Source organism: Homo sapiens, chromosome 8, assembly GCF_000001405.40.
Source record: "Homo sapiens chromosome 8, GRCh38.p14 Primary Assembly".
Classification (NCBI taxonomy): domain Eukaryota; kingdom Metazoa; phylum Chordata; class Mammalia; order Primates; family Hominidae; genus Homo; species Homo sapiens.
The window spans coordinates 139,891,726-139,911,072 of record NC_000008.11 but is presented as its reverse complement, the minus strand read 5'-3'; the positions used below and the strand labels follow the sequence as shown (position 1 = coordinate 139,911,072).

Here is a 19,347-nt window from a genome sequence, read left to right as displayed (position 1 = left end):
AGATTTGGGTGGGGATAGAGCCAAACTCTATCATTCTGCCCCTGGCCCCTCCCAAGTCTCATATCTTCACATTTCAAAACCAATCATGCCTTCCCAACGGTCTCCCAAAGTCTTAACTGATTTCAACATTAACTCAAAAGTCCACAGTCCAAAGTCTCATCTGAGAGAAGGCAAGTCCCTTCCACCTATGAACCTGTAAAATCAAAAACAAGCTAGTTATTTCCTAGATACAATAGGGGTACAGACATTGGGTAAATGCAACCGTTCCAAATGAGAGCTGAGGGGGGGCTGTGGGAGGGGCACGCCCACCTGGCCTGAGAAGGAAATGGTAGGGGGAGGAGGCAGACAGCACTCAGAGGATAAACAGGCAGTTCCCAGTGGGCTGATGGATCCCCAGGGTTAAATAATTGTCAGCGTTCTCCATGACTGCACAGGAGTTTAAGTCGCCATCCAGCTCACTATCTATGGCACACTGGTTCTTTCCTGCCTTGCTGTGTTATGGAATTGAAATTTTTATCTGGGGTAACACAGGTCTTCCCAGAGGTTTGAAGCAATGACTGTGTCTTCAGCTCCAAATTGTGTGTTGAACCAGCTCTGAAGTCAGGGCCACCTTAGGAGTCTATTATTTCATTTTCTTGGAATGAATCCGTTATGAATTACTAACGATAATGATTCATTATAGTGTCTCACGCTGGCATGTGCTGATTCTCCAACAGCCGGCAGAAATTGCCCTACTGATGAATTCTCTGCTGTGTTTTCCCCTTTCTCGTAGAATGGCTATTCAAGTGGACAAGTTCAACTTTGAGAGTTTCCCGGAGTCCCCTGGGGAGAAGGGGCAATTTGCAAACCCCAAGCAGCTGGAGGAAGAGCGGCGGGAAGCCCGAGGCCTGGAGATCCACAGCAAGCTGGGCATCTGCTGGAGAATCATATCCTTTTCCAGGGGCCACCTGGGCCTGGGGGCACCTTTGCCCAGGGTTCCAACCTCTAAGAAAGACCCGTGAGGGTCTTAGCTATTGAATTTTCACCACAGGTAGCTCAGAAATGCTGTGGCAAGGAGATGTGGACCAAAGGCTTGGCATTTCCTTAACCTCTTAACACTTCAAAGGCCCCACTCGGAGCAGTATTGATTGGGGGCGAGGAAAGGTCTTCTCGGAGCCGGTGGTGCTCTCGTCTTTGGATCACATGCTTCTTGCCAGTGTTGATATTCATGTTAGTGACAGGTTCTAATGGCCACCTATCAGTGCCGGGCTCAGGGGGTTCACAGACTGACAGCTGAAAACACAAGTGCAATTGTCTGAGAAACTGAAATCGGATTGTACAGCTTACCGAGGCATGAAGATGCCATTTTGAAAAGTTGGAGAGAGTTTTCAGAAGGATTGTGCTATAACACAGTGTTTCACACAGTCACTGAGCCTGGTCTGAACTTTGGATCAATGGCTGACTCCTTGCAGACACTCCACTGACTGACCGAGCACTTTGGAGAAGCCCAGGTTCCCTCATTTGTTTGTTCAGCAATCTTTGGAGAGCACCTACTTTTGAGTCAGGCATTTTGCAAGGCATTTAAGAGGCTGAGATGCAAAGACAAGGTCTCCATGCAGTTGTTTGTCTAGTATGAAGTGGATGTGTCCTCTGGGAATTGAGCACTGTTGGGGAGCGAAGGCAGAGCACCCTGCCGAGTGCTGCAGGTTCAGAGGCCACTGGGTGGGGGCATTCAAGGAAGGCTTCATAGAGGAGGTGACATTTGAGTGGCTGCTAGAAGTAGATAGAAGTTTATTAAGGGGACAAAGGTAGGAAACAGCCCCAAAATACTGAGGCATGAGAGCCCATCTCCGGGGAAGGGGCAGCTCTGATGGGAATGTCTGTTAATGATCTCAGTCATGCACACATTCTGCAGATATGGGGATACACACGTTGCTCCGTTGTGTGGTCTGGGATCCTTCCAGATGGCCTCCTGGATTCCGAAAGTGTCCTCGCTCTACACAGCATAGTTTCCAGAACCTGAGGCCAATTCCTTTGTTCAAGCTAAAGGGACTTTGAGCCTGGCAGACTCACTGTCTCCAAGGAGTTTGTGACAAAATAAGCACTTTACATGTAGATAGAAGGTTTTGTGAACCAGACATGAAAAATAGAGTGCTTGGGGACTCACGTAGTGAACAGGAACAGTCTGTTGTGGAGTTACCGGTGTTTATCTCTGGTACAGAGAGAAGTAAAAAGGTGGGGATAATGGGAGTTGTCTTTCCCTTGTATTCCCCACAGAGCTTGGCACAAAGTCAGGGTTCAGCCAGTTCTTAATGAGCAAAATGCCATAGCAAGGAGCGAGTCAGACTGGTTCCTACTGTGTCGGGCGTGCACCCATCACCCCATTTATCTCCTCCACATCTCCCTGACCAGCACTGTGGCTCCCATGAAGGAAATTGAGTCTCAGCCATGAGGGGTAGGGCCAGGGACCAACCCAGGTAAGTTTGCTGGCAAAGTGCTCACCCCCGAGTCTCAGGCTTCAAAGGAGAAGGCTCCGCAGGCAACTCCCACGCTGCCAGGCTGGGGAAAGGAGGGACCCCTGGCACTCACCTCCCAGCGTCTATGCTGGGTCTTGGGTCTTTCTGATAGGCCCATGTTTCTGATAATCTTTCTGTCTTTCTGTTGGGTCTTTCTGATAGGCTGAGGGTTGGAGAGGCTCTATGTGAGGCAGGAGGCATCTCTTACTCGGGTCTCAGAGATTCAGCCTCTGGCCGGGCGCCCCATGCAGAGCAAGGCGGTCCTGGATGGGTCTGATGCAGCCCCAGCTCAGCGCCAGCAGCACCAGTGGAGGAAGGGGCAGGTGCATGGTGGGCCTGGCAGGAGGTTATTCATTCTCCTGAACGATCTCTCTTTGGGCTCAGATAAAAGCCAGAGCCCTAGGATGGTTGGGATTTTGACCTCTGTGTCCCCACGCTTCACAGAGATTGAGCCCTCCCCTCCCCTCCCAGGGCCTCATTGTGCTGGGCACACAGGGGCACCCTGCTAGTGTCAGAGCTGCTGCCTCCCAGACACCACCCTGGGCTGGTGCTGCCCTGGGCCACGTCACCCTTGTCGGCAACCTGACTCCTGGGGCGGTTTCATTATCCTGTCTTCCCGTCTTGCAGATGAAAACTGTGACTCCACTTCACAAAGAGAAAGTGGCGTGGCCAGTTCCTGCACCCCGTAGCTTGTCTGCCAGCCTGCAGTCCCCGCCCAGCACATGCTGCCTTCTAATGGGATGATAGTGGCCCACAGAACTCTTGCGTTCTTTGAAAACCAGTATCAAAAAAGTACAGAAAATGTCTTTGCGTTTGACTTCTCTATTTTCTGTATATTTGCTTAATAATTCATGCAACACATATTTATTGATTGCCTACCATGTGCCAAGCACATCTGCCCCATACATTTACTGATCGGAAGTTTATGAGAGCTTGATTGTCCCTATAGGCAAATTTAGTGAAAGAGAGTTAACATTAAGGACATCATCCCTCCCTCCCTCCCTCCCTCCCTCTCTGCCTCCATCCCTTCCTCCCCCCCTTTCTCTTTCTCCCTCTCCTCTCCCTTCCCCCCACTCTCATCTGTTGATGACATCTGGTGTCAGAGGAATAGCAGAATTTTGCTATTGTAAACCTGAATTCAAGCAGATGGAAAGACCAAAGATTGAATTGGCTAATAATTTCATTATGCATTTTAATAATATTTTCTAAACATTTAGACTTTTTACAAACATTTGAGCTTAATTTGATACCCGTCCATAGTTGTAGCAGTTGCCCACCTGTAGCGCATGGGTCTGGATAGATGCGTTTTAAAGGAAATTGGGGATCTTGCACTGGGTCGATGCACACCTGTCTATGAAGCAGCTACGGTGACACGATGGGCAGCCCAGGGCTGCCGGGAGCTCTCACCCCACTCTTCACCTGTTAATGACAAATATGGTACAGATTTGCTTGTTCTTAGGAGGTGAGCCCTGGAGATGCCCCCATCAAAGGGGAGGGGACAGATACAGAGATGGGCACTTGCAGTGCAGCGTTGTGGGGCTGATGGGAGCTTCCCTCAGGTCACGCCTGGCAGGAGTAGGTGGAGATCTCAGCCCATTCCCGTTCACGTAGAGAGATGAAGAGGGCCCAGGGTTCAGCATGTGCTGTGCTGTCCTCAGCAGGGGACCCAGAAGGCAGGGTATGAGCATGGCCACATTGATGTCTTTGAAAGCCACCCTGGCCACAGTGTGACAAGTGGGTTGCAAAGATGCAAGCGCCCCTGGGGATGCTGGTGGGTTGAGGAGCCACTGCGTGAGCAGCTCTAAGTCAGGGACCGTGAGGGCCTGAGCGAAGGGAGTACCCAGGAAAAAAGTGCCGAGGGACCACAAGGGCCTGAACAAAGGGAGCGGCACAGGAAGAAAGTGCAGAGGCGGCCACCCGTCACCAAGAACCTGCAGGGTTCAGACTTGCGGGTGGCCTCTGAGTGCCTGTCCCTTCCTCTCTCCTTCCCAATCCTCTCTTCCCCCTTCTCTCCCTCCTGCCCCTCCCCTATGCCCTTCCCTACTTAATTTCTGTCGAAACAGAGGGTTAAACTCAGTAGCCTCCTTGTTCTTGTCCCCTCCCTCAGACCCCACGTGTGATTGGGCACCCCCGGGCACTCCTCCTAGAGTGCTGGAGGGCTGTGGGTGGCCTCTGAGTAGCGCCCAGCCCTGCTGACCAGCCCCTTCTCCCATTCTGAGATGGGGCACGTTTATCACAAGGAGCCCAGGGCCAGAGAAATTACAATGAAGACACCTAGGATCATGTCCCAGGGCACTGGCCGGGCACAGGGCCTGTCCCTGCTGTGGACAGGGTGACCTGTTGTTGGGGAGGTGGCCCAGGGCGGTCAGCCATCCTGCTTCCAGAGTGGGGGTCACATTCTGGTGCTGGGCCTGACCGGATGAGCTAATGGGTTAGGTACCCCTTTTTTCTTTTTCTTTTCTTTTGTTTGTTGTTTTTTGTTTTTTGAGGCAGTCTTGCTTTGTCACCAGGCTGGAGTACAGTGGCCACAATCTTGGCTCACTGCAATCTCCGCCTCCCGGGTTCCAGAGATTCCCCTGCCTCAGCCCCCCGAGTAGCTGGGACTACAGATGTACACCACCACGCCCGGCTAATTTTTTTGTATTTTAGTAGAGACAGAGTTTCACCATGTTGGCCATAATGGTCTGAATCTCCTGACCTCGTGATCCGCCCGCCTCGGCCTCCCAAAGTGTTGGTATTACAGGCATGAGCCACCGCGCCCAGCTGGGTACCCCTTTTTTCTTTAGGAAATCTTTTCTTAAACCCTATTTATCATTCTTATTATTATGACTATGAAAACCACTTCTTGTGTGGCTGCTATGTGTTAGCTACTGTACAGCAAGCTTTCCTCACTACCTGCCACCAAGCCTGGGGCCATGTTTCCCACGAGAGGCTGGGAAACCTGGTCAGACACAGGCAGTTTCCTACCATTCTCCCACCAGTCCCTGCCCCGGGTGACCTTGGTCATGGCCACCTTCTCTCTCTGCTTCTCTATTCTCATCATGAAGTGGGGACAGCAAGGGCTTCTGCTTCCCCGGAGCTGCACGGGGCGAGTCCCTGCTCCTGTGGCACACTCGGGAAGCACTCTCCCTGTGTCCCTTCCTGTCACGCACACGCCAGGTTGGAGGGCTTCTGCTGTCTTTGTGCATTTATCCTTATTCTATCCCAGGATCAAAGTTTTCACAAAGGACTCCTCATGCTCACAAGTCTCTTAAGCCCTTTCTTCCACATTTCCTAGGCTTTCTTGCCCACATCAGCCTGCTGATTTTAAAGAGAATCCTTCCCCCCAGCCCCCCGACCCAGACCTCTCCTGCTTGATAAGAGCATGCTTGTTTGTAATGTCTGTGCAGTTTCCCTGGAGGGCGGGGGCATCTCTTCCTAGTACATGCAGCATCTGGCCCAGAGAGCTGGGCTTATTTGCTATACAGTGATGCTTTCTGGATAAAACCTACCTACCTTTGGTACCTTCTTCTTTTAAGCTTCTTCTTACCCTCCAGCTACCAATACTGGACAATTTTACTGAACTTGGGAAACCTTAGCATAGCCAACTCTCTGTGAACTCTGTTAATAGCAGATAATAGCCTTTACCACGTGATCTAGAAATCTTCTATATTTGCCTTTGGGATAGGACTAATGACGCCACATTGTTGAGGACTGGAGCCTGGGGTCAGAGGCTGGCCCTGCCACTCCCAGCATCCAGAAGGGGAGACTGTGTGACCTGAGGGCCATGTACTAATCTGTGCAGCTGGTGTGACGGAACCTGCTGCAGACCATTGCTGTCAGGATGAGTTCGAAGAATCATCGGCCTTTTTGGTCACCTATGGGTGAGCAGAAGCATTTTCCTTACCTCAGACCTGCAAAGCAGGTAGTACCTACCCCTTTCAAAACATAAGTAAATTTTGGAAGTTCAATAACTCACCAGAGATTGTGCAACTAGAGGCATAGTCAGGATCCCAAAACTTGTTATTTTCCTGTTGACTGCTTCAACTGAGATCACATCTGCAAGGTGCAGACATAGCTTCTGGCCCTGGAAGGTGTCAGCAAAGGTGAATGCCCCTTGCCCGTTTCCTGCTGGAAGACCTCATGCCACGCTGCTACCTGACCTCAGGGGAGGCCCTCCTGACTCATCCTTCAGAGTGGACCTCACTGTCTGCTCCTCAGAGCCTTCTCTGCCATCAGCCTCCCTCCCGTCTCGGCCTGGCTGCAACAGCCCCTTCCCTTGGGCTCCTGTGACACCCAGTACTTCATTCTTGTTAGTTACAGTCTTTAATTAGTACAGAAAATTAGTTTTTTTCTGCAGATTTTCTCCCTTGCCAGATTGTGCCGTCTTGAGGTCAGGTGGAATCCTGTTCATCCAACAGCCGTTTATTGAGGCTCTACCATGTGCCAGAGGTTGGACTGAACACCAGGGCACACCAGATGCTCAAAATCAGGTGTGGACCCTGCTCTGATAGTATGTGTTCTCTTTTGCTTGCCCAAGTGCTGTGTATAATCGCTAGCACATAGGTATGAAAACTGTTTGTTTTTTGAGACAGAGTTTCACTCTTGGCACCCAGGCTGGAGTGCAATGGTTGCAGAGAGGTTCACTGCAACCTCCGCCTCCTGGGTAGCTGGGACTACAGGCACCTGCCACCACGCCTGGCTAATTTTTGTATTTTTTAGTAGAGTTGGGGTTTCACCACTTTGGCCAGGCTGGTCTCGAACTCCTGACCTTGGGTAATCTGCCCACTTCGGCCTCCCAAAGTGCTGGGATTATAGGTGTGAGCCACCATGCCCAGCCTAAAATGGTTTGTTGAATGAATAGTTTCCATTTCAATGACACAGCAAACAGAATGGCTACCAGCTCAGCTGCGCGATGCCGAGTGCCGTGATGAGTGTGTGAAAGGAACTGCAACTCACGGGATGAGTCTACATCGCAGCCTGGCTCCTTTTCCAGAGCAGCCCTGCACAGACCGTCTGCTGTGGAAGCAGGGGAGGGACACGCTTCTGGCAAGCCTAGGGTCAACTCACCCTTTCATTTTCCTTGTTTTTGTTGCAAATCACCCTTTGGAGAGCATTTCAGGGATTGGTGCAAGGCTTGCTGAGGTATCAGAATCCAGCTGTGTGAGCTGGAGTAGGAAGAATTGGGTGCGCAGTTTGGCTGATCCCCATGAAGGCGAATGACCTGGGCCGTCTGAGCAATCTCTTCCCACCAGGCGCATCCGCCTCCTCCATTCTGTCTGGAGGAGCATTTTTAACCAATTTGGCTGCTTTGAGAGTGAGTTAGAGGCTGGAGAAGCCCAAGGCAAATGGCTTTAGATACCCAGAGTAGGGGATTGGAGTGGAATATCTGTGAAATGCGGAGGACAAATGAGCAGACATGACTTGGAGAGTGGAGGGATGTGGACGGTGTAACCATGATCTCAGTACAGGGGGCCTTGTGTCCTCAAACAGCTGCCTTCCCGGGCACAGGGAGCCCAGGCACAGCTTGGGTCTCAGGCTGTGCACTGCTGAGGGGTGTTGGATCTTGCAGACAACAGTCACCCTCTGCAAAGTGAAGAGGCTCCACAGTGGCGGCGGTGTTTGTCAGTTTTATTTGGGCTTCACCAGCAGGACAGTGTAAGGATTTTAGGCACAGTGGCCCTGTTTGGGTGATCTCACCTGGAATGCAGTCACACTGGGCTTTGTTCTCCATTTTCAAGACTGCCTTCTTTCCAGTAAGGAGGAGTTGCCTTCCGCTGAGCTATCCTCCCTTTCAGGACAGAGGCGGGACTCAGGCACTTGACGTGGGCTGTGTGGGCCCACCCTTCGGCCTCTCAAAGTGGCTTCTGGCCTATTCTCAGACATGTTTCCTAATGGAGCTCTGTCTTATCTCCTGAAAAAAATTAAATATCTTTAAACAAGATTCTTTTAAAACATAGCACACTGTGTTTTTCTAATCGTTATGTTTGGAGAAATAGTTTTCTCTAAATGAATTTTACTATAAACGGCTCCTGCCATCAGTACAGCTGATTCCTTGATCATCTTAAGTAAAATGCAGGGTTGCATTTTGTATCTGCCTTGAGGGAATTTGGCTTTTATAGCTGTTTGTAATAACGTGGTTCTGAGGCCTTTAATCTCCCGTAGCAGGGAAGCCCTGTCAGCCACAGAGAGACGTCCTGCCTTGCCAGCCAGCGAGGCCGTCACATCACCCTGGCTGTTTGGCCTTCGGTGGGCTGGAGGGTAAGGTGGGAGAGGCACAGATTTGATTGCTGCCTCCCCCAAATCCAAATCTGGTGGCCATGCCCACCTTGAAATGACTTTGAAAGTGGCCGGGGTTTGACACATACTCAGCACAGACTTCAGATCTGGAACATGAGAGCGGGGAAGGGCCTTTCCCCGGCATCCACAGCATCATTTCCCATCTTCATGTGTGTGCATGCATGTGTGTGTGAACGTGCACACGGATCGACGTGTGTTGTGTTTGTGTGATCAGGTACATGTTGGACATATACACACTGTATTTTTAGCGTGATGATTATTGTGAGCATGCGTAGCTTATGTAATAGAATCATAAAGTTACAGAGCTTAAGTAACAGCTAAAACCCATATGGCACTTACTAGATGCCAGGCACCGTTCTGGGCAATTTATACAGATTTATTCCCTTCACTTTCACAACAACTCTCTGAAGTAGTTTTATCCACGTTGCACAGATGAGAAAACGAGGAGGCCCAGCGAGGTCACCTCGCTTGCTGTAGGTCACCCAGCTGGTCCGTGGCAGAGCCGGGGGCACGGGCAGCTGCTGCCCTCAGTGCTGTGTGCTCAGCTCCATCTAGGAAGAAGCACAAGAGCCTCTGGCTTCTGCCAGGGCCTCGCATTATCCCCACTTACCAGAGGAAGCCTATGGAGATGGCAGCATTCCTAGGTCTCACCACTGATTGGTACCCATCGCCCCATGCAGAGCTCTGTCCATTTCACCTGCTCTCCACTGTGGGACTCTGGAATATTCTCACCCAGGCAAGATTTGCAGCAGTGAGCCAGTTGCAGACCTCTCCCCTTGGCAGCGCGTCCCACTGTGTGACATCTTCTGTCCAGTTGGGTCTCTCACACCAGGGAGCTCAGCTGAGACGCTGGGGCACTTACTGAAATGAGAGCGGCAAGAGCATCAGCATTCTGAAAGTTCATGATGCAAATTAGAAAACAAAGTCATGGCAAAGAGGCTCATTAATCATTTAAAGCAGTCTTTCCATTAGTGTAATTTCTATTTATGACAATTTGCTAATTTATTTGATCTGAAGTGGGGCTAAGCTGAGCCCTTGCACCTGTAGTCATTCACTCCAGAGCTTGCGCGTGGGATGCAAACAGCCTATTTTCCAGCAGGGAGAGATGACCCAACTGAAGTCACCGCCACCCCAGAGCACCCACTTCATGATGCTCAACCCAAATCCAGTGTGAAAACCTTCATGTCAAATTCTCCATGATGGAGTTCAAGCTTTTGCTCTGTAGACTTTGGATACTAACCAGATGTTCTGAGCATAGCACTTACTTTTATTTTATTTTTATTTATTTATTTATTTTATTTATTTATTTATTTATTTATTTATTTTTGAGAGATGAGGCTCACACACCTCAGGTCTACAGGTTCCAAAGAGAACCTCACAGATTCCCATCTGGCTTCATGTTTCCCAGGGGCAGAGTGAACTAAGCAATCATTGTTTTCCTAAAATGCCAAACCGGGTCATGGTAGACTTCAGTCACATAAATATAGACAGGATCTCAAAGCTGCCCCATGGTTTCAAATGGTCTTTGACTGCGGTACATTACCAAATATTTTACTGCTAATGGCCTTACAGAAAATGACAAGGAAGGTGTTTTATTACCTTGTGCATTTGCTTTGCATCTGGCTGTGTTTTTCAAAGATTTGGAAGTGAACACTCATAGTTCCCAAGACATGGAGATTAACTGAGATGGCACACATGAAAACATTTGTAAACAAAAAGGCTCTGTACAAATATTGATTAAATAATTAAATGTGATAAATAAGGAAGAATGACTACTGATAATAAGTAGGATATAATCCTTGCCCAGGAGGCTGGGCTTCTTTAACATAGGGAGGCCCCCAACTTGGTCTCTGAATCCCCAGCACCTAACACAGCAAGGACAGGATGCGTGCTCTGCAGGGTGCAGTGGTGGCAGCCAGGGAGGACAGAAGGGTTGGTTTCCAGGGTAGAGACATCCCAGATAAGGCAATGTTTGAGCTCTAGAAGATGGGGGTGTTCACCAGAATGACAAGGCTAAGGGTGCTCCAGGCACAGGGGAAGCAGAGCAAAGACAGCAAACAGCGCCGTCTCTGGAAGTGAGGACCCAGGCACACACGCACACGGGCTCAGGGTCTAAAAGGGGAAGCGGCAACAGGAAAAGCAAGCTGTGAGGGAGCTTATGGATTGTGCTGGGGTGTTGGGACTTTGTCCTAAAAGCAGTGGGTCGCCCTGAAGGGTTTTGACCCAGCGAGTGACGGGATCACCTTCACCGTGAGGAGGACAGACGGCTCTGGTCAAATGGTGGAATGAAGTCTTCCTTTCCACCTGCTCCTGGCCTGGCCTTGTACATCTAGAACACATTTGGTTCTGTGGGGTTGTGCTCCCTGCCTTTGGAAATTAGGCACAAGAGTCTCCAAATGTACATATAGGGCAGTACAGGTCTGTCTCTGCTTTCTCTCCCAGCCTCCTGCCCTCAGCCCTTGGTGAGGCCTTTAAAGGGTGTCGAGTTGGAATGAAGGAGGCCAACTAGGGACAGGATTCTTGCTGGTGTGTAGGTTACCTGACTTGTGAAACTCATTTCTGCTCTAAAGGGTTACAGTGGAAAACCAGAGCAGTGACCCTGCTCTGAACCATGCAGCTTGCAGAGAAGGAAGATGGGATGGGGCCTCTCTCTTGGGGGTAATTATGGGGAGTATCCGGTATAGCTCAGGGCACAGTTGACCCTTGAACAACACAGGTGTGAACTACGTGGGTCCACTTACATGCAGATTTTCTTTCACCTCTGCCACCCCTGAGACAGCAAGACCAGTGCCTCCTCTTCCTGCTCTTCTGCCTACGCAACGTGAAGATAAGGATGAAGGATGGTCCACTTTCACTTCATGAATAGGAAATGTGTCCTCTCTTCCTCATGATTTTCTTAATATTTTCTTTTCTCTAGCTTACTTTATTGTAATAATATAGTATGTAATACATATAACATGCAAAATACGTGTTAATTTACTGTTTATGTTATCTGTAAGACTTCAGTTCAACAGTAGGCTATTAGTAGTTAAGTTTTGGTGGAGTCAAAAATTACATGTGGATTTTCGACTGTGTAGGCGGTAGACACCCCTGACCCCATGCTGTTCAAGGGTCAACTAAATATCCTTTTTTGTTTGTTTCTGTTTTTTTAAATTCTTTTTTTTTTTTTTTTTTTTTTGAGACGGAGTTTTGTTCTTGTTTCCCAGGCTGGAGTGCAATGGTGCGATCTCGGCTCACTGCAGCCTCTGCCTCCTGGGTTCAAGCAATTCTTCTGCCTCAGCCTCCCAAGTGGCTGTGATGACAGGCACCCACCACCGTGCCTGGCTAATTTTTGTATTTTTAGTGGAGACGGGGTTTCACCATGTTGGCCAGGCTGATCTTGAACTCCTGACCTCAGGTGATCCGCCCACCTCAGCCTCCCAAAGTGCTGGGATTACAGGCATGAGCCACTGCACCCGGCCTGTTTCTGTTTTTTCAATGTGTATTTTTTTCTCTTCAAGCCAGATTTTTAAATTCACGGAAGGGATTGAGATCTGATACTGTTGGAGAGAGCGGGGTATGACATATGCAACTTTTGTAAACCTCAGTTTCCCCTTCACAGAAGAGCCACATCCTCTGCATCTCACATGTGGCGGGTATGAAGCTCGAATGTGGCTCTGAGTTGAGTGTGCTGTGTAATCTTTGTGGGCTGAACACACACATAAGACCGCTGCTCCGAGGAAGCGTGGCTTCCTCCAGTGCCAGGTAGAGAGTAGGTGCTCAGTAAATCTTCCCGGACACAAGCTTGTGTGGGTGGACATTCGCTGATAAACTGTGGCCTTGCATAGGTGGTCACTGAAAGCTACCATCAGGTTTCTTCTGCATCATCCCTGGAAAAAATCATTCATTCAGTTGACTTGTACTTGTGACCAACTCTGTGGAAATGAATTAGGGACTCAGAGACCGTAAACCTGCCCCTTGTCCTCAGGATGCTTACCGGGGTCTAGTTTGGGAAATCGGTCATGGCCACAAGTATCTGAAGCCCAGGGTGGCTGGCGCTACCGTGGAAGTGAGGCACGGGGCCCAGAGCCAAGGGGCAGCCTGCCAAGTGCTGTGCTGGGGCTCCCTGCCTGCCATATTTGGGGCTGCTCTTCCTGGGCAAGTAGCCGCCCCTTGCCCCTCTTCTAGGAGGAGCCCCACTTGCGTACGCCACTTACTCCTGGAGTTATGCTTCACCATCTCACTGGCAGGGGACGAGCTGACACCGTTATTGGCCTAAGCCAATAACACAGAGCACATCTGTGTTCCCACTGCCTTACGTCGTCCCCCAGAAAACTTCATGTGTGACCTCACAGGAGAAAAAGGCTTTCTGAGTCCAAGGGGCTCTCGCCCTCTTCAAGGGGCAACACAAGTGCCTCTAACGTTCCACAGCACCCAAAAGTCTCTGTGTCTTTAGTGCTGCTTTGAAGGTGAGCTCCTGACCCCGTCACTCTGGCACGCTGTGGACTTCAGGCTGGTTATGCTGGAAACACGGATTCATGGGAGGAGTCTGGACAGGGAAGGGGGCACTGCTCTTGGAGCAGCAGACCCCGAATTTGAAACCCCACTGGGGTGAGTTTGAATCTACCCCTTTCTGGCTGTGTGGCTTTGGGAGCGTTACCTAACATCCCCAAGGAGGCTTCCTAAACCTGAAGTTGTTGTGAGGACTATGTGGGATGATCTGTAGGTAACTGACACATCACAGGTGCTCAGGGAAAAGCAGCAGGCATTTATGGAGCCTCTACCATGTGGCGGTGACTGGGGTACTGTCCCTTCCTCTCCCAGGGCTTGGAACCACAAGCAGTCCTCTGAATTCTTTCTTTAGTGGCTTGGATTGCATGTTTTCTGTTCTTTGAAATAATATTTTCCCACGGGGAGGCCAAGAAGCTAAGCAGTTGGGAAGGTGGGGCTGCCTCCTCATTCATCTTGCTGGTTTGAGCAGGGATGGCAGAGGAAGGTTAAACTGAGCAGGGCTAGCCCCAGCCCCTGGACCTCACGGCTCACTGCCTCCACAGGTGTTTGACCAGCAGGGCATGTGAGCAAACTGTAATGGACTCCAAGTAACTCAGCCGTGTCTCTGAGGCAGAAAGTGGCAAGCTTGGAGGACGCTGTGAGAGGAATTTGTGTTTCCTTGCAAGGGTGTTAGAAACTGCCTGTGGGCAGCTCCAGATATGAGAACATGAGCTGGGCTGGGACGTGGGTCTTCTTAGGGCTCAGGCACGCAGGGATGTCAGTCATTAAACAGTGGGCATGGGTTAGGGGACTTCTGTGAAGCCTGGGTTGGCCCCAGCAGTGATTTCACAGTTCTGTTGCCAGTGTGTTCATCTCTGTCTCCTGAGAGGCAGGGGCAGAATGGTGGGGGTAAAAACCTGTTGACGATTTGGAAACTTCATCCCCAAGTGCCTAGGAAGAGCCTTGAGGGGAGGCAGCTGCTTCAGCACCATGGAGAGCTCTGTGCTGGGCTTCCCTCTGGGCTGGAAAAACACTGGCCAGGCTTGGTGTGGACACTGACCCAACTGCTGGCCAACTGCAGGGCCTTGGCACAACCTGGCCCTGTGGACAGCAGGATCTTTGTCCAGTGGGACTCATGGCTCCTGGTTTCCAGGTTTACGGTGAGGAGTCAATACAACATATCGAATAATCTCTGAAAGCCAGAGAGCAGAGTGTGGGTTCAGGGGTCAGCCTGGCTGGGTTCAAGCCTGGCCCCTGCCACTTGCTAGCGGCACTGGCTTTCTTTTTCTTTCCATGAGCCTCAGTTTTCTAGAAAAATCTTTGAAATGAAAATAACAGTACCTATCTCATACCCACCATATTCTGAAGTCTTAGCTTGAAAGTGGTGAGTATTGCAGTGAGAAGATGCGTGTTGAGCACTTACCCAGGGCATCCTTCACAGCAAGCACCTTGGAAATGTTCTCTATAGTGGCAATAATGATAGGAACTACTATTGTCATCATCATTATGGATTGACCTCTTGCTCCAAATGCCAGGGTCCACGTATTTAAGAGATAGTAGCCACCCCCATCACTGCCACCATTGCCACTGTATGTTGTAGTATTACAACTGTGGCTGTAATCGCTGCCTTCAGCCAGCCTTGCCATTCTTGTGCACAGGCTGAGATGCAAGACTGTTTGGGTGGCTTACAGGGCTGAAAGGAAGTCGGATATGCATGCAGGTAATTAGCTTTATTAGCTTAGCTGTATAATTTTATGGCTCATGTCCGAAAGCAAATTAATACAGAAATATGCTATTGGAATGGCTTCCAAAGCTCCAGCACCATTTGGCAACTTGGTAATTACTCACAGGCGGACTTGCTCCCCAGACTAATCACTGCAGAGCTTCTCAGCCTGGCCGGGCCTGTTAGGCATGGTCTCTGCTCTGCAGGCACGGGGCTGCTGCCTGCCTCCAAAGCCTGGTGTGAGACTTTTTAATGAAAGTAATATGCCAAAATGTAGGTCTTTATTTCAAGAAAGTGAAAATAAACTCCAAAGAGAATCAGGAGGGAAAGCAGAAAGAAAGAAAAACAAAAATGTGTGTTTTGAGCCCAAGTGTATCAGTGACTTGCCTCCCTAGAGCCTCTCAGTTCTGACCGGGGTGAGGCCCACACTCAAGTGCAGCTGTGTCCCAGCGTCCCAGGCCCATAGTGAACTCTCAACATTTAATTTTGTTCATGATGTTACCAAGGGCACATTATTGTTTACTTTTGTTATGCTAATTTTTGTATTACTTTAAGTAGGTGCACATGGTTCAAAATCGTTTTAAAAAATAGACATTCCCATCTTCCCTTTTCCTTCTCCACCTCCCAGAGCACCCACTTTTATTTGTTTCTTATAGAAACTTACAAAATTTATTTCTGAAATAATAAGTACATGCAAACACCCTTTTTACCGTAATTTTTTTTTACACAAAAGGTATGTATACATTTTGCATCTTGCTTTTTTCACTTACTGCATATCTTGGGAAACTTCTCATATTATTTCATAGGCAATGTTCTCTCTCCTCTTTCCTGCTGCAGAATATTACCGCAAAGCGGGAGCATGCCTGTGTGCCCCCCGCCTCGTCAACAGGGATGCTTTTCCACTTCCATATTGTTACCAGTCTGGCAGACGGGCTCTTGAGCAGGTCCTTTTCCTCTGGAGATGTCGTTTTGCAGGAAAGAGCCTGGCCTCTGGAGTTAAAGTGGCTCCGGGGGTGGCCGTTCTGTCCCCGAGTAGCCCGGGACGTGTGGTTGAGCCCTCCGGTTTCTGGTTCTTTCCCTGAGTAAGAGTGGCAACTGTCCTGGCCCCACCTAGTTGAAGGGAACAGGCACAGCCCTTGTCGTAGTGCCCAACATGGCTCAGGCATGTCCCAACGTGTCTTCCCTTCCCCCTTCCACTCTGGGACCCAGTTGGACGACTCTGAGATTTAGAATTGGCCAGTGGGAGCGTTTTCTTCAGTGAGGATTGGTCACTGCTCTGAGCGTGACTTCGTGTGCCCATGAGCCATGAGGGCCGTGAGATGACAGCTGAACGCCGAAACCAGAAACAGTGAAACTGAGCTCATCTTGCCAGCACGGCACACACGTTTCCACTCTCCTCTGCCTTTGATTAGAGTGAGTCACAGCATGGCTCACAGGGGTCTGGTCAGGAGTGGAGGAAGTGAGATCTGATGTCTTTTTTACTGAAGAGGAAGTTGCTCTGTTCTGTGGGGGCTGCAAGGGAAAGAGAAGCAGCAGCCCCCCCCTCCCTCCGCTGCAGGCACTCCAGTTCCCGGGGTCCAGTCCCCTCACACTCCGCAGGGGATGGCGTTTCCTAGGAGGAGTGGCGCACTCAGGGCACCGCAGCAGTGGGGCTGAGCCCAGGCCACTGGTGAGGTGGGGGCTTGGGGCAAACTGACTCAGCAGAGCTGACCCCTCCTGGAAAGGACAGCACCCCCCCAGGATCACCCAGTCGTGCGCGGTGACCAGTGGTCTCGTTGGGGGTTGGCATTGGCTCTCTCCTGGGCCTCCCCGCAAGGAGGGAAACAGCTTTGCACACTGCTCGGTGAGGGTCTTGTTGGTGCCGGGACTCGACAGGTAGAAAGTGCAGGGGGCTGCCCTGAGTTAGCCTGAGACCTTCTAGAAACTTACCCTAAATCAAAATTAGTTGCCCGAAACCTCTAAGAATTCTCATAAAGGGCACTGGCTGTGTTTTCCTGCCAGCAGTGTCACAGCACGCAGGGCTGGTGTGGCCGATGGAGTAACAGGAATTGAGGCAGCTGCAGGGTGGCTGTGGGCAGGGATGCTGGTGCCAAGCGGTTGCCACAGAAGAATTCACAGGACTGGTCGGAGTTATCTGGGAGCAGGCTTGCATCTGCCCCGTGCCCCTGTGGGCAGGGAGGAGTTCCGCTCTGTGAGCATCACGTGGTGCTACGTGACATCCCAGGTTGGGGCTAGCATCCTGCCTGTCACTCAAAGCCAGCAAGTTGTTTGACCTTCCCGAGGCTCGGTCCCCTCACATGTTAGACGGTACTGGCTGTGTGTGCCGACTTTGTGCCAAGGGCCAGCATCAGTTACCTCCTGGTGTGCCAGAGTAGATCGTCAGGGAGCCACTCTGTTCCTCATGCTGAAGATGAGTTGTGGGTGCACTGCTGGTGAAGGGCAGCTTTTGATGAATACCGTCATTTTCTTTATGCCTACATTCATGCAGACTTGCCATGCATGTTTTCATTACATTATTTAATCCATGTTTATGGAGCTACTTTTGGTCCGAGGAGTTGCATGAGACATGAGAGCTTCAAAGAAAGGTGTTCACGGTTCCTCAAGGGAAAGAGACATGCAAGTGCCAACTGCAGCATTGCTGGATCACGCTCGAAAGAGCATTGTGCAGACCGCCAGGGCAGGTTGGGCATGTGGCTGTGCTCAGTTGGCTCCCCTGAGGGGCATGGTTGTGTTGGGTCTGAAAGAGAGGAGTCTGCCAGGTAGAAGAAGGGGAGGGACATTCCAGGAAGAGCTGGGCACAGAGCCTGAAAAGGAGAGAGCAGGGTGCGTCCAGGTCTGCGGCACGCCGTGAGGATGTGGATCTCCAAGTCCACTATGAAAACAGACATGGAAATGGACAGTTAGCATGGAGCCCCTGAAGCTCCACAGGAGAGGCATCTCGCCAGGGCTGTGGGGCACAGAGGAAGGAGCCCCTCACCAGGGCTACGAGAAACACGGCACGTCTTGGTTTGTAAATCCTTAGAGGGCAGAGTGAGTTTAACTCCCACAGGGCCTGTAGCATCAGTAAGGTTGAAAGCCTTCCCCTCTATCTTTTCATCCTCCTGACCACCTGCAGAACGGGCACTGGGGACTCCCTCTGTCCAGAGTAGGTGTCGTTGTGGACTGAGGCTGTGAACACTGCACCCAGGGCCCCTCCCCCTGGCTGATAGACGACTGGGTGCCAGTGATGGTGCAGCTTCTACAGCAGAGGAGTGCCTGTGGCTTGACACGCTTCTACAGTGGAGGGATGCCCACACCATGGTATAGCTTCCACAGTGGAGGAGTGCCTGTGCCTCGATGCGCTTCTATAGTGGAGGAGTACCCAAGCTGCTGTGTGCTTCTATAGCGGAGGAAAGCCAGAGTGGTTTTGGAGCAGGTGTGGGTCAGGCTGGGGCAACCTTAGGAGCCCTGGAATTGAGCAGTTTTGGAATACACTGTACAGTTTCCAAGAAAATAAACCGTGGGTGCCTGTCCCAAACCTGTGGTGCGTGTTACCCGTGACTGGCAGACGTCATCATCGTAATGCTCACAGGGCCAGCCCTCTGGCCTATTCTTTGTCTTCCTCTGTCTCCACATTTTCTCCTGTGTCTCTTTATCCTAGTGGGGCCCTAGGACCTCTGCCTCTGAGATTCTTGAGGGCAGACAGTCCTGAGAGCTAGACTGTCATCAGTTCATCTGCAGGAGGTTCTCCTTCACCTCCTCTCCAGAGAGAGGCAGCTGGAGTCTCAGGGCCACCTTGGTGCTCCCCTCCCTCTACCCTGACCTTCTCCTAGGAGGGGCCTGGTATGAGCCATCGTGGTGTCCCTTGGGTACTACATGGGGAGAGAGGGCTCCATGCCGGGGTGGGGGCCAGAGCAGCACAGCAGTGCAGGAGATTTCCCTGGCCAGGAAGGAGCGGGGCCCTGAAGCTTCTTAGCAGCCTTGCCTTTGTGCGGGACTCGGGGTGCTGCGGCGCATGTGCTTGTGGCGGCCCATGTATGGGTATGTGCCCATTCACACTGGTGTGCATGCACATATTCATGCAGAAACATGACATTCGGGGCCTGGTATTGTTGCCCAGTTTCTGTAACTTGGAGGCCTTTGGCAGTGGCTGAGAACGCAGCCTCTGGGGGCAGAGTGGGCTGCCATGTGGTGTGTGGCCTTGGCCAGTTTCTTGACCTTTTTGTGCCTCTTTCCTTCTCTGTAAATTAGATAATGCCTACCTTGTAATGCCATGATGAACGTTAAATCGCTGAGCACGTGTAAGCTGCTTAGAGCGGGCCCTGCCTGCAGCACGCACCCTGGAGATGGGAGCTCTTGGCTGTTGGTCTGCCCACCCCCACAAGTGTGCAGATCCATGGG

General features: G+C 50.8%; 1 protein-coding gene across 15 annotated transcripts in view, besides 5 other annotated features; it reads left to right on the top strand.

Annotated features, from left to right (window-relative positions):
- TRAPPC9 (trafficking protein particle complex subunit 9) overlaps positions 1–19,347 on the top strand; it is a 730,855-nt gene that overhangs the window by 547,507 nt on the left and 164,001 nt on the right. For all 15 annotated transcript variants that reach the window (NR_164662.1, XM_011517326.3, NM_031466.8 and 12 more), the window contains one exon: positions 773–926. Coding sequence is in view for 14 of the 15 variants with exons in the window: in XM_011517326.3 (XP_011515628.1) it covers positions 773–926 (154 nt within the window). In the remaining variant the exon portion in view is untranslated. The remainder of the gene's footprint in view (positions 1–772; positions 927–19,347) is intronic.
- Positions 2,385–2,888: an enhancer, noted in NCBI's record as "H3K4me1 hESC enhancer chr8:140920429-140920932 (GRCh37/hg19 assembly coordinates)". NCBI's record gives its function as "activates a minimal SCP1, AML or CMV promoter by ChIP-STARR-seq in primed H9 embryonic stem cells {active_cell/tissue: H9 hESC(primed)}" and the evidence as "EXISTENCE:reporter gene assay evidence [ECO:0000049][PMID:30033119]".
- Positions 14,161–14,361: a silencer, noted in NCBI's record as "peak7187 fragment used in MPRA reporter construct". NCBI's record gives its function as "represses an SCP1 promoter by STARR-seq MPRAs in K562 erythroleukemia cells {active_cell/tissue: K562}" and the evidence as "EXISTENCE:reporter gene assay evidence [ECO:0000049][PMID:32103011]".
- Positions 15,523–16,722: an enhancer, noted in NCBI's record as "P300/CBP strongly-dependent group 1 enhancer chr8:140906595-140907794 (GRCh37/hg19 assembly coordinates)". NCBI's record gives its function as "activates an origin of replication core promoter dependent on BRD2, BRD4, P300/CBP, MED14 and CDK7 cofactors, with strong dependence on P300/CBP, by STARR-seq in HCT116 cells {active_cell/tissue: HCT116}" and the evidence as "EXISTENCE:reporter gene assay evidence [ECO:0000049][PMID:35650434]".
- Positions 15,923–16,422: an enhancer, noted in NCBI's record as "H3K4me1 hESC enhancer chr8:140906895-140907394 (GRCh37/hg19 assembly coordinates)". NCBI's record gives its function as "activates a minimal SCP1, AML or CMV promoter by ChIP-STARR-seq in primed H9 embryonic stem cells {active_cell/tissue: H9 hESC(primed)}" and the evidence as "EXISTENCE:reporter gene assay evidence [ECO:0000049][PMID:30033119]".
- Positions 16,071–16,300: an enhancer, noted in NCBI's record as "active region_28026". NCBI's record gives its function as "activates an Ori minimal core promoter by ATAC-STARR-seq in GM12878 lymphoblastoid cells {active_cell/tissue: GM12878}" and the evidence as "EXISTENCE:reporter gene assay evidence [ECO:0000049][PMID:35858748]".